Source organism: Homo sapiens, chromosome 12, assembly GCF_000001405.40.
Source record: "Homo sapiens chromosome 12, GRCh38.p14 Primary Assembly".
Classification (NCBI taxonomy): Eukaryota; Metazoa; Chordata; class Mammalia; order Primates; family Hominidae; genus Homo; species Homo sapiens.
The window spans coordinates 82,132,430-82,146,374 of record NC_000012.12 but is presented as its reverse complement, the minus strand read 5'-3'; the positions used below and the strand labels follow the sequence as shown (position 1 = coordinate 82,146,374).

General features: G+C 33.9%; 1 long non-coding RNA gene across 2 annotated transcripts in view; it reads left to right on the top strand.

The window, feature by feature from the left end:
* LOC105369873 (uncharacterized) overlaps positions 1–11,480 on the top strand; it is a 173,421-nt gene extending 161,941 nt beyond the window's left edge. Inside the window, exons 3-5 of one of the 2 annotated variants that reach the window (XR_001749232.1) lie at positions 2,628–2,898; positions 7,470–7,535; positions 10,881–11,480. This is a non-coding gene — a long non-coding RNA (uncharacterized LOC105369873). Of the gene's footprint in view, positions 1–2,627; positions 2,899–7,469; positions 8,833–10,880 lie in introns of those variants that run through there. The other variant, XR_945149.4, reaches the window with a different exon arrangement.
* The last annotated feature ends 2,465 nt before the right edge of the window (positions 11,481–13,945 follow it).

Sequence of the window (13,945 nt, the reverse complement as noted above, 5' to 3'; positions counted from 1 at the left end):
AGCCCTCCAAACTGTTCCAACCTCTGCCTGTTACCCAGTTCCAAAGTTGCCTCCACACTTTTGGGTATCTTTTCAGCAGTGCCCCACTCTACTGTTACCAATTTACTGTATTAGTTCATTTTTACACTGCTGATAAAGACATACCCAAGACTGGGCAATATACAAAAGAAAGAGGTTTATTGGACTTACATTTCCACATGGCTAGGGAAGCCTCACAATAATGGTGGAAGGTGAAAAGCATGTCTCACATGGTGGCAGACTAGAGAAGACAGCATGTGCAGGGCAACTCCTGTTTTTATATAACCAGTGAATTTTGTGAGACTTATTCACTATCACAAGAACACCATGGAAAAGACCTGCCCCCCATGATTCAATCATCTCCCACCAGATTCCTCTCACGTGGGAATTATGGGAGCTACAAGTTGAGATTTGGGTGGGGACACAGGGTCAAACCATATCACTATGCAATGAACCTTCACAGGTACCCCAAAAACTAAAATAAAAGCAAAAAAAAAAAAAAAAAAAAAAAAAAAAGAATGTAGACCAGAGGCCAGCAGGAGATTTACCCCAAAGCTAATAGAAGTTTAAGTTTTAGGGCTCCTTCCAAAGTCCCAGCAAGTTTGCATTTATTATTTTGTATGCTTTTTCTTAAAGAGTCTCCCCCAAACTATTTAAGATTCAGGTCCTGCAAAGTGATTCTTGCCTTCATAAATTCATAGATGAATAAATAAGAAAGTAAGACAAAAACCTCAGAGATAATACTTAAGGATAAGCTGTGAATCCAGAAAAGTAAGGTATTATTGAAATAGAATTCATTTTGGTAACATCTATCCATCCTCTGTAGCCTGGGTGGGAAAAGAAACACAGGCAGGTGTTAGACAGGGAAAGCCCTTCATAAAGCCAGGATTCCAAAAGATGACAAACCTTCGTTGGGTGAACTAGAAACAAAGAACATATCACATAAAGGTGCAATGACTATAGTTGCCTGCCATGGATTTTTTTCTGGTGGAATGTGAAAAACTATTCCTTAAGAATTTCTAACTACAAGCCTGACATCAGGAGAATATGGGGCCTGAAATTCTCTTTCTGTAGCCTCCAAAATTCCATGCTTGCAATGTAGTTAAAATGGGTACTACAATCTGCTTATACAATCAACCTAAATCCTCAAGTTCATTAGAGCATTTTGTATATTAGAGTTACTGTTGGCAATGGTTTTGCTCATTGTTTTGCTACTGTAGAATACAGGTTACCATGGTTTTTTTTTTTTTAGTCTTTAGCATTGGTTTCCTTTTGATCTTTTTTGCTACCACGAAGGCCTTTGCAGCCTTTGCCCATGGCTGAGTCTCAAAACTATCACGTTCTAAATTTTCCCGATTTCCAGTACCTAATTTTTTTATCAGTAATCTTTGCTTCATACAAATAACTTCAAATTGTTGTGGCTTTATATTGTAATTTATTATTTTTGATGATTCTGTGGTTCAGCTGGATGGTTCTTTTCCTAGTTTCTTGTGGGTTCACTCACATAGGTGCATTCATCTGAGGATTAATTCAAGGCTGGTCCTCTCTCTGCATGATAGAGGCAATATTCCAAGAGAGAAAGTTCCACACATAAGCACTTAGTAAGCCTCTGTTTGTGTCACGTTTGCTGATATTCTATTGGCTAGAGCAAGTCATGTGGCCCAGCCCAGAGTCAATGGGGGAGGGGACCTTATGAATTTGGAAAGTGTTACTCATTGAGGGTGGCTGATGTAACAATCTATCCCAATGAGTTGCAGCTTTTATATGGATATATAGACAAATAGTTTCAACTTTTCAAAACTATTCCTAGTCAGGGGAGGTAAGGCTAATGAAAATAATTTAATGAATAATTGGATCCATTATATGTGATAAATGATAAACGTTTTGGTAGAAATTAATCTTTGGAGAATTTTATCAATAGTAAAGGAATGGTAGAATAATCTACAGTACCTGACTTCCCAAAACACAAACACTTGAATTTGCAAAACATCATTTTATAGTGAAACATGCAGAATTTTTTTTGGTCACTGGTGGCCATTTGAGCTCCATTCTGCTTAGCACGTTGCAAAACTGGAATGAGAAGCTTCTGTTATATTTCTCTGGCAGTGGCCATGCTTAGACAGTCTCCTCCATATGGAATTTATTTTGTCCCCCCAAAAATCTATGGTATCTCATTATAGTATGTTCTGACCTCAATGAGTCTTTGATGTTTTGAATTGTTTTTTCTCCTTTTTTCTTTTCTCTCTCTCTGTTTCCTTCCTTTTTTTCTTTTCTTTCTCTTTCTTCTTTTAACATGGTAGCCCACATTTACATATAAGAACATTGACTCTCAAGAATTTTGAATCACACTTGGAAGAAAGAATGTGGATTGGAAACATGTTGAATGTATGATTGACTGACATCATTGTTTCAAGAGCTTAAGGGTGTCCCCTGTAGAACAATCTGATTTTCAAAAGAACTGGCTCTGGACTCAAATCTGCCAACTTTCTAGTTCTTACTAAGATTCAACCCTTTTTCTGGAATAAATGCTTCTTAAATTATTGCAAGGCTTTGGTTAATTTCCAGAGTTCTGAAAAATCAGATTTTGACTCATTTTTTTCTTTTTCCAGTTTCCTCATCGTTTTAATAGAGGGGTGGATTTTGAAAATTTCTTCTGACATTCTGAAGAGCTTCTTCTGTGGTCATTTTTTTATGAAGTAATTAGAAACTGAGATACTTCTCCAGAATAAATTGTTGGCTTTTGGGATAGTGGAATGGAAGAATGGAAGAATCCATTACAGCAAGTGATTCCTGAGGATGCCAGAACCTCCCTTTTATGAAGCCTTCTTCTTCTTCCATCTGACTTTATCTCTACAAGGATAGAACAGATGAGCTAAACTGGTAGGCTTTTTTCCCTACGATTTAGTTTAATAAAATTACTTATACATTAGAATTGGATAGAACTAAGTTGATATTATAATCTCACTACTTATTAAGTATTCTTAAACAAATAGTTTAACATTCATTAATTTTAATTCTTTCATCTAAAACTTGGAGGCTGTCCTGGAAAATCATGAGATACAGTAAACACCGTAAAAATGTTAGCAATTTTAAATAATAATTAAATCTAAGAGCATGCTTTTCTTCAGTTAGAGTGGCAGATGTTTTGATGTCTTTCTTATAGAAGTTCAGCAAATATTTAAAATTACTACAGACAATCACTGTTTTTGGTTCAGAATGGGCATCATGACTTGATAAAGGATATACTTTCTGTAAATGGTGAATTTATTTATTAAAATGTTTTTAAGTGTCGAAACACCTGGTAATTAAATGGCCTTTGTTCTAAATAAATACAATTTAATAGAATTAGGACAATTGTGGACACTCCAGGATATAAAATATTTACTGACAAATATGGGTGGTGCTTCAGTGACCAAAAAAAAAAAAAAAAAAAAAGATTACAGAATCTACCTAGTATTTTCTCTGAGTCTGCTTAACTTTCTTACTTTAAACTGAACTTTAAAAAATAAAAATAAAAACCCAAAACAAAACATCTTTTTTGAACTTGCTAAAGAATAAAAAAATAAAAAAAACTTCCATTGGACGTCTCATATTATGCTTTATGTTTTAAAAACTAACAACTCAATATTTACTTAATTAAATATTTTTATACTTAAAAATATATAAACATAAAGAATGAAGAACAACACAAACGCACAGATACACACAATAGTTTTTTCTTTTCTGATACAAAAATATAATTTTATTATGTACATTTTCTTCATATTATCTCATGTTAGAGTACATAGTACTTTTGTACAATGATAATCCATCTGAGCAAGATGAAAATGATTATAGAAGCGAATGCATTTTTCTGGTATTGGATAATATTCTATGACATACATTTATGACAATGGTACACATTTGGCAATATTTAGAGACATTTTTAATTGTTATCACTGAAGAGAGTGGAGAGGCAGTGCTTCTGGCATCTAGTTGGTAGAGAACAAGGATGCTGCTAATAAACCTACAATGCTGAAGATGGGCTCCATTAACAAAGATATATCTGGTCCACAGTTGGACCAGATGTCAATAGTGTTGATCTTGAGAAATTCCAGTCTAATCATATATTTTATTCTCTTTTTTTCTTTTCAATTTTTTTGGTATCAAGCTGTAAGATATCCATTTCCTATTGTGGTTATGAAAGTTTTTTCAAACACTAGATTTGAAATACAATCTTAAATTGGCACTTAATATTTTTTATTCTTTTCATAGTTAAGTATTTAATCCATCTGGGCTTATTTTTATTTTTTATTTTTTTACTTTTTCAATCCTGTGATTTGTGGTGCCAAGGGAAAAAGCCAGTTGTGCGAACACCACTAATTAAATAACCTATCTTATTTCTCCCTGAATTACGACACTCTATGTGCATGTAAACGATATGTTTTGAGATCTCTATTTTGTTTCACTCATTTATTTGCATAATCTAATGCAAATACCAGATAGTTTTGATTATATTTATTTTAATATCTGATAAGGCATTATAATCATTTTGATACAGGTCAGGCTATTCATCTCTTATTACTGCTGTTTAATAATTCCTTTATTAAACAGCTTTAGCATTTATTTTCCATATGATCTTTAATATGATTTTCTCCAATTTAAAAATAATTATCATGCATTATGTTTTATTAATTTTAGCTTTCTTATTTATCCTTTTATTTTGCTTTTAATTTATCAAAATAAATATTGAGTTGCTTAAATTTAGATTTTCTTCTTAATAACAAGTGCTTTTTAGTCTATACATTTTTGCTTGAATATGACTTTGGTTACGCCCCACACATTTTAGTGATTTTTTACATTTCTTCCTCGCTCTATCTTTCTGTCTCTCTTGCTGTCTACGTGTATGTGTATATATATATATATATGTATGTGTATATATATATGTATATGTATATATATTTGTATGTTATCTATATATAACATATACACACAAACATAAAACATTTACATGAATATAAAATATACACATGTAAATATTTAAAAATATAGTAATATTAAAATGTTATGAACAGTCTATGATCAATTTTTTAAAATATGTATTTGTGCATTATATAATTTTTTTATTATTCAATTCTCTTACATGCTTGTATTTCGTCTAATTATCCCTGTGAAATACTCCAAATTTTGAAATATTGAAGTATGATTGCACTCATTAAACATAACACAGTACAGAATGTTGCACAAATAAAATATGTGTGGCTTGTTTAATAATCACACATGAATGCACCCATTTCCTATCACCCAATTCAAGAAATAAAACATTATCCGAATCCCAGAAGCCCATCTATTGCTCTTTCTCACTCAATAACTCCCTCCTTATCTTGAAATGAAATCATTATTCTGGCTTCTCAAATGATGAATTACTCCTGCCTGTCTTTGAAATGGATGCAATTGTAATTGTTAAACAGACAGTAATCTTGTACAAGAACAGAAAATATTGTATACAGTATAAAATATCTGTATGTAACTAGATAATATTTTAAGTATATTCATATAATATTATAAAACATACTTTATTGTTTTTAACTTCTTTTAAAATTTTGTTATACAATTTTTCTGTTAGTTTACCTTTATTGCTGTCTAGGATTCCATTGGACAAATTCACTAAAATTTATTCATTCTACTATCGTTGGATATTTGAGTTGTTTCCAGTTTGGGGCTCTTAAAAATAATATTTTAATGAACATACATATGTTATACATGTCATATCTCTTGATGCATATATGTATGAATTTCTTTTGGGTATATATTTAGTAGTGAAATATCAGCATCAGAGGACATGCCCATGTTAAACTTTAGCACATACAGCCAAATAGTTTTCCAATATGTTTGTACCAAAATACACCTTACCAGCAGAGTGTGAGAGCTCCTCTTGCTGTATAACTTTGCCAATACATGGTATTGTCAGTCTTTCCAATTTTACTCACACCAGCATTTGTGCAGTTGTATCTCATTTAGTTTGCCTTGCCCTGAAGACTAATTTTCTGTTTATTACGTATTGTATGTTGTATTTCTGAATTGTCTTACTTTTTACTGATTTGTAAAAGTTTTTTATACATTTTAGATACAAGCCTTTTGTCATTGATGTGACACATTTTTTTCATTGTTTGTGCTCCCCCCATTTAAAAAGTCTTTTCCAGCCCTATTTAAAAAATTCTTTTACTTTTATTCTAGAAAAGTTATTGTTTGTCCTTTCATAAGTACATTTCACTTAAAATTAATTTTTGTATATCTGACAAGTAGGGAAGGATTAAGTATTACCTTTTCATGGACATTCAATTGGACGGACACTATTCTACATATTTGATTTTTTAAAATATAATTTGTTTTTAGAGCAGTTTTCAGTTCAATAAAGTTGAGCAGAAAGAACATTGAATTATCATACAATCCTTACCCCCATACTTCTACAATCTCCCCCACTATTAATATATCTCACCAGAGTAGTACATTTGTTACAATCAGTGAATCTACATGGACACATCATTATCACTCAAAGTCCATAGCTCACATTAGGATTCAATCTCAATGTTGTACAGTCTATGGGCGTATTTGATTTTTGATGCTGATGTAAGTAGTATTATTAAAAATTATTTTGCAAAGTTTGATAATGGCACATAGATGTGATGATGGCACATAGAAACACAATGACTTTTTAAATGATTTTGTGTCCAGCATCTTGCTAAATTTACCTATACATTAAAAAAAAGTTCTGTAGACTCTTGTGGAATTTCTAAAAACACAACCATGTTATCTGCATGTTAGGTTATTTTTTCTTTTTTTTTTTTTTCATTCTTTACATCTTGCAATTACTTTTCTTACCTTAGTTCACTGGTTATATCTGATAGTACAATGTTGAATAGAAATTGTTATACGTTTTGTTTTTCCAAAAATTTTTTGTGACTTGAACTTTCATTTCCAAAAATTATTTTTGAGAGGAGTGTGTGTAGTGGGGAGGAGGGGGAACTAAGATGATACTTTCGTCCTCCAACAATTTGGTTTACTTAAGCATCAGTTTGTTTTGTCTGTCTGCATACAGTGCCACTTTTCAGTGTCAAGTAACTGGAAGGCTTTAAGCTTCACTGATACTTCAGAGGCACAGGGGTTGCTACCTTCATGGGTTAGTGGTTCACTGGTAAGCAATTTATTTGTTTCCTGTTTTTTCCCTAGTCTTCTCAAAAGGTGGTATACTTTCAGCTACAATAATAAAGAAAGAACTCAACTCGTCTATTTGACTTCTCCTAAGTTCTTCTGGAAACTAGCTTGCCCTTTGAGGAACAAACATTTCCATTACTAGGTGCAGTCCTCTTCAGGCCAGGCTCTCTTTACAGTCAACTGTTGGTTTTGATTCTCAGTTCAGTTCTCTTCTGCTCTTATCTTGCCTGTTGTTCATACCATCTTTCTTCTTCCAGTACCCATCAGCGCCCAAGGCCTTGCTCACCTTCTCCAGGCACTAGAACCTGCTGGGCTTGAGAGAGGTAAAGTAGAGAGATTACAGTTGATGGACAGAGCATTAAAATATTTTAACAGCCATCTTATCTTTCATTTAGAAAAAATTATGACTACTTTCAGTTTGCATAAACATATAGTGAATACTCTCTATTAAGTTGTCTACCTGGCTTATTTTATTTTTAGATATTCTGAAATAAAGCAGATTTTACGCATTGCAATAGGGGACAAAAACTATTTTAAATAATATCTTTTTTCAGAAAGTTAACTGCTGCAGTTCTTTGAAAGAAGATATTACAAGCAACTCATTAGAATGCTGAATAGAGGACTAATAATTATTTATAATGGAGGCCATGTTGAGATACTTCCTTGAATTTTTTCTGAAAGCAATGTTGGTAGAATTCTTATTAGGAATATGCTTTCTATGAGACTTTAATAGTAGTTCTATTTTTATCTGGGAAGAAATGAACCTTACAATACTAATTTTCTCAGTTAACAGGGTTCCTTCTCCTAAATAAGCCCAATTCTTTAATTTAGGATGGGTAGCAGCTTTCCTTAGTCTTTGTGGAAAAGTGCACTTACATTACAGATGGGAAGAAAAATTAAAGTAAGATATGATTTTAACCTTTCTTTAGGAATTGAGGAAATCTATTCTTAATTTTCTTCAGTACCTAATTTTGGATGTTGTTTTTGCAAAATCAAGGCTTTTTAAATTACTCATCAGGTTTTTTCTAGGATCTGTAACTTCGTGGAAAAGAACACAGATTTTTAAAAATGCACTAGAAAACATAAACAAGGGATATATTTTCATAGATTTAGTAAGAACTTCATTATATGCCTACTCTGTGCTAGGCACAGGTCTAATAACAAGAAAATCTGCAGTGGGCAAGACACATGAAGTACCAGCCTTCAGTCAGCTTAAATTTGCATTTATGGAAAAGATAATGAATAAATGTTAATGATGCTAATACATGTATAGCAAGAGTAAAGATATATATATTTATGTATGTATTTTTTTAAAGGAAATGATTGATTTGAATTTGAAATTTGTTATACTTACATGAAGTATTCACTCATAATTTTATCTCTTCTTTATATGTGATGATTGTGTATTTTCTTTGTTATTCTTGTACTTGTCTACTTTTTCTCTCTCTAATTTTTAAAGAATTGATCGATTTCTTTGTCTATATTACTGCATTTCTCAAAAACATATAGTATGAGTTGGTGGAAGTTGTCTCCCTGGTTAGGAGAAGAAGTTTATTATTAAGTTGTATATAATTGTCAGAACACAGTTTTAATAATAAAAAAAGAACAACTTTTAAAACATTTTCTTGCTATTTTAAAATTCTTTATAAGCAAAGCACCCCTTATTGCCTATACCTGGGAAAGATTGCTCCCCTAGCACCCACCCTCTACTTTGGTGCAAGACATGTAGAAATTAGTTAAATAAGGAGTGTGGTGGTGATGGTGGGCTGAGAGAGACTGCTCAAAGTGAGGGAACAGCGTATGTGAAGGGGTAGGAGATAGCCTGGCCTTCTCAAAGACATGAAACAAATCCAATATTGTTAGAACTTAGAAAGCAAAGGAAGCAGGAGTGGGGTGTGTTGTGGATCATGTATGAGTTGATGCTTGGCAGTTGGAAAAAATCATGTCCTGTAGAGCCTTGTAACTCATTTTAAGAACTGTATTCTTTAAGCTAAACACAATAGAAAACTGTTAGAAAGTTCCAAGGAGAGACTTTTCATGCCCATATTGGCTGTATTAGTCCATTTGCATGCTGCTGATAACGACATACCTGAGACAGGGTGATTTATAAAGAAAAATAGGTTTAATGGACTTACAGTTCCACATGGCTGGGGAGGCCTCACAGTCATGGCAGAAGGCAAGGAGGAGCAAGTCACATCTTACATGGACAGCAGCAGGCAAAGAGAGAGAATGAGAACCAAGCAAAAGGGGTTTCCCCTTATAAAACCATCAGATCTTGTGAGACTCGTTCACTGCCACAAGAACAGTATGATGGAAACTGTCCCCATGATTCAATTATCTCCCACTGGGTCCCTCCCACAACATGTGGGAATTATGGGAGCTACAATTCAAGATGAGATTTGGGTAGGAACACAGCCATACCATTTGATTGGCATTTAAAAAAAAAATCCTTCTCTCTCCTGTATGGATAGCTAATTGGGACGCAGGGAGAACGGGGAGAAAGATGTTAAGTTAGATCAGCAGTAAGTTTCTTAAAATTACTTTGATGAGAGATGATAGTAGCTTGGACTATGATGGTGGCAGGGAATATGTAGAGAGGTAGATAGATTCGAGATGTATTTATAGGGCATGGCTTGTTGTAGAGGGCAGTGAAGGATAAAATAGGGCTAAAGATGACTCCTTGATTCCTGGCTCGTACAGTTCTAGGTGATGTTTACTGAGTCATATTGAGACTGGAGAAATAAGTTTGTTTTCCATTCACTAATTTTCAGTTGTCTCAGAGACACTTCCATTTCTGGTGGCTGCTTGCTATTGTACATGCGGTTTCTTCTTTGCGAAAGACCTTTCCCTCACCAGAACTATTTGTCTCCTATAGCTTTAATTGGTAGCTCCAGGGAATTAATTGCTCACTTATTTATGATCCTATGATAATTTATGCATAACTGGATTGTAGGAGTAATTACACTGAACAGTCTGTGTACCCAGTAGATTATAAACATCTTGAGGACAGTGACTCTCTCTTATTTATTTTACCTCTAACATAGCACAATGATCACAACACTGTGTAGAAGGAAGTCATTTACAACACCCTTAAGCATAAGCTCTTATTCAGAATGCTGGAACATCAGAAATACTCCAAGAAGTGTTCTCTTTGGGAGTAGAAAAACATAGTTTTCATAGATTGTTAACAAAAGGGGTTAGCTAACATTCCAATAATTTCCAGAACATGTGGTCAGAAACGGTTCCTGAGGGAGAGAGAAATTATTCTTTCGGTTTAATATCATTAGTTGGGTAACGAGTTTAGCAAGAGGGGAGAGTGAGGACAGTTGAGGCTAAGGTCATCAGAGGACCGTGGAAAAATTTTCAGTCCTTCAACATCTCTCAAATTATACATATTAAATTGTGTTTTGAATGAATAAATAATAACTCTCATATTTCTCTTTCCCTAGACCTCAAAATTTCTCCACAGATGGAGAAAAGTTTCTTGTATTAGGAAAGGCAATACGTAGTTGCTACACCAACTAAAAACCCTGACATCTCTTTCTTAACATAATAAAAGTTTATTTCTCATTCAGGTCTTAGATTGTAGTTAGCATTCCTATCTGTATGACCTTCCATGTGGTCATTTGCCTTGAAATTTGAGACTCCTGTTTCTTCTGTGTCTGCAGATTTGGTCCTTGGGTTGAGAAAGAAAAATGGGATCATATATGGGAGTGGACTACATCACTTCTGCCCACATGCCAATCACCAGAACTCAAGTCATATGGTCACATCTAAACACAAGAGGATCTGAGAGATACTTAGCTATGTATCCAAGACGAGGAGGAAATGAGGGAGCATGTATCATTTTTTGCCAATTTTCAATAAGTTTTGTGTATAAATGAGTGAATGAAGGAATGAATGATGCTTTTAAAATTATTAGGAAAAGGTGGACAAATCTAGGAACGTCATCTCGTCCTTCTATGAGGGTGAGCATTTTCTTGGTATTTTGTTTGATGGTGTTTTGGAGTTTTTAGTTCACTGAGATATTTAAATCAGACAAAGAATGGAGAATGTCCAAAGACAACTATTTATTGACAGCAAACACAAAAAAAGTAGGTACTTATATTTTGCCTCTTTTCTCCTGCCTATAATGTAAAGAATGCAAAATAAAAGTGATAGGACTTTTTCCTATCTTTATACACAAATTTGGGCTTGGATTATATTATCCTGTTGTATAGAATTACTTGTAACCAGAACAAAAGAGCTGAATTGTAGCCACAGGCTGAAAGAGAAAAGTGGCATATGACCATCTATGTGAATATAATTGTATCATTTAAATGCCGACAAATCATTAAAGTTAATCTTCCATTAGAAGTTACATGATTTTGTTTTATTCATTCTCTGAACATAATACGACAAAACTACAAGCTTTTCATTTAAAAAATAAGATTACTTTAAATTAATATTTGGGAATATTTGCTTTAAAGAAATTGTATATTAAAATTCAGTTTCTTTTATACATCTCTAACAAGTGCCATTTCCTGCATAATAATTACATTTCTAGTCAATTGAAAACAGGAGTTTTACCTAAAATAACCAAGTAACAAGAAAAACATTCTTTTTTTTTTCTAGGAAGGATCATGTATCCTTTCTTTTCATAATACTGTATCATTCAGAAAATAAAATCATCATTTTGACTCCCTGTTCCATGCAAATGTCATTTTGTCTTTGATTTGCAAAGTATGTAAGATTTTTCCACACTAGGTAACGAAACACCCACACATGTTTAAAATTTAGTTTGCTAGTTGTTATTCATACTTGGTTGATTTTAAACTCAAAATGCTAATTCTCTAGGATTCAAATATATAATTTGAAAATAGACATTTTATGTTCCCTTGATAAGAATCAAATAATCTGAAAACTAGAGGGAATAAAAGAAATCAGCTAGGTAGAAATGCTCATTTTATAGATTAGGAAAATTAAATATAGAAGGTAAAGTGTTTGGAATGAGGTTCTTGGAACTCTCTAGCAGCAAAGTGGGGTTTGACCATACTCATGCCCAGGTCCATTATAATTTTCATTAACTCGTCAAATTTAGGCTTAATATATGTAAATCCTCCTATTAAGTGTATTTTAAGAGTTTCTTCCTTGATATACGTGCACATTCTGTTCTGTTCTAACGTCCATCAAATATTCGTTTCATATTGATTTAATGAAGTTTTAGTTTTAGTAAAAAGGAATTTAAAACATAACATTATTTCATAATACAGAAAACACAGTTTTAGTTAAGCATTAACATCTCTTTGTTTTTTTGTTATTAAGCAAAGTAGCCTATTTGAGATTGGCATTAAATATAAACAATTGATAAAGAAAATAATTACTTTTTCACAAAGGATCAAAGCATACTGTTGTTTAGGTTGTTTGCTGAAGCCAAATGAGCAGTGACTTTTTTTTTTTTTTTTTTTTTTGAGACGGAGTCTCGCTCTGTCGCCCAGGCTGGAGTGCAGTGGCGGGATCTCGGCTCACTGCAAGCTCCGCCTCCCGGGTTCACGCCATTCTCCTGCCTCAGCCTCCCAAGTAGCTGGGACTACAGGCGCCCGCCACTACGCCCGGCTAATTTTTTGTATTTTTAGTAGAGACGGGGTTTCACCGTTTTAGCCGGGATGGTCTCGATCTCCTGACCTCGTGATCCGCCCGCCTCGGCCTCCCAAAGTGCTGGGATTACAGGCGTGAGCCACCGCGCCCGGCCCGAGCAGTGACATTTTTACTGAAATTCAGACTGTGTCTTCCTGCAGGAAAAAGGATGTTTTTGTGTTTTGCACAAAGGTGGTGAATAAGTTAACAGTGTCACAGCCTTGAAATATACTCGTGTTAAATGAAAAAATGTGCATGTTAAATAAAAACTATCTAGAATTAGGCCGGGTGCGGTGGCTCATGCCCGTAATCCAGCACTTTGTGAGGGCGAGGGAGGCGGATCACTTGAGGCCCAGGATTTCAAGACCAGCCTGGCCAACATGGGGAAATCCCATCTCTACTAAAAATACAAAAATTAGCCAGGCGTGGTGGTGCACACCTGTAATCCCAGCTACTCTGGAGGCTGAGGCATGGGAGTCGCTGGAACCCGGGAGGCGGAGGTTGCAGGGAGCTGAAATTGTTCCACTGGCACTCCAGCCTGGGTGACAGAGCGAGACCCTGTCTAAGAAAAAAAAAAAAAAAAAGAAAAGAAAAGAAAAAAGAAAACTGGCTAGAATTACATATACCCAGAATTATATCTCTTTGAATTCCTCCAGAAATCTTTATTCACAAAGTCTACAAAAGTTTATTTAATAAATGAGTAAAAAGGCAGATATTCCAATATTTGGAGGGGAGTGAAAATGCTCAAGATTTGGAAGTATTTAAATGAACTGATCTTACAGAAAAAGAGACCTAGCAAGGTATTAACAATCAGTTTTTGTGAAGGGTAGATTGGGTCTTCTCTTTTAGTTTAAGAGAAACTAAAGAAGGTTCTCCCGAAAACTTAACAATTTCAGAAATTCAGAGAAAACTCTAACTAAAAAGTTCTTTCTTGTTTTGTTTATTGTACTTTTTGTCATATCAGCAATAAAAAAAACCTTAGAATTCTTTTTGAGTGTTTATTTATAAATACCACATTCTAGTGAAATACAATATGGGATTGCACCTATACGATGTATTTGCAAAACAAAAACAACGTTCCAGGTTATTCTTTCAGATATTTGGAGCAAGCCTGATA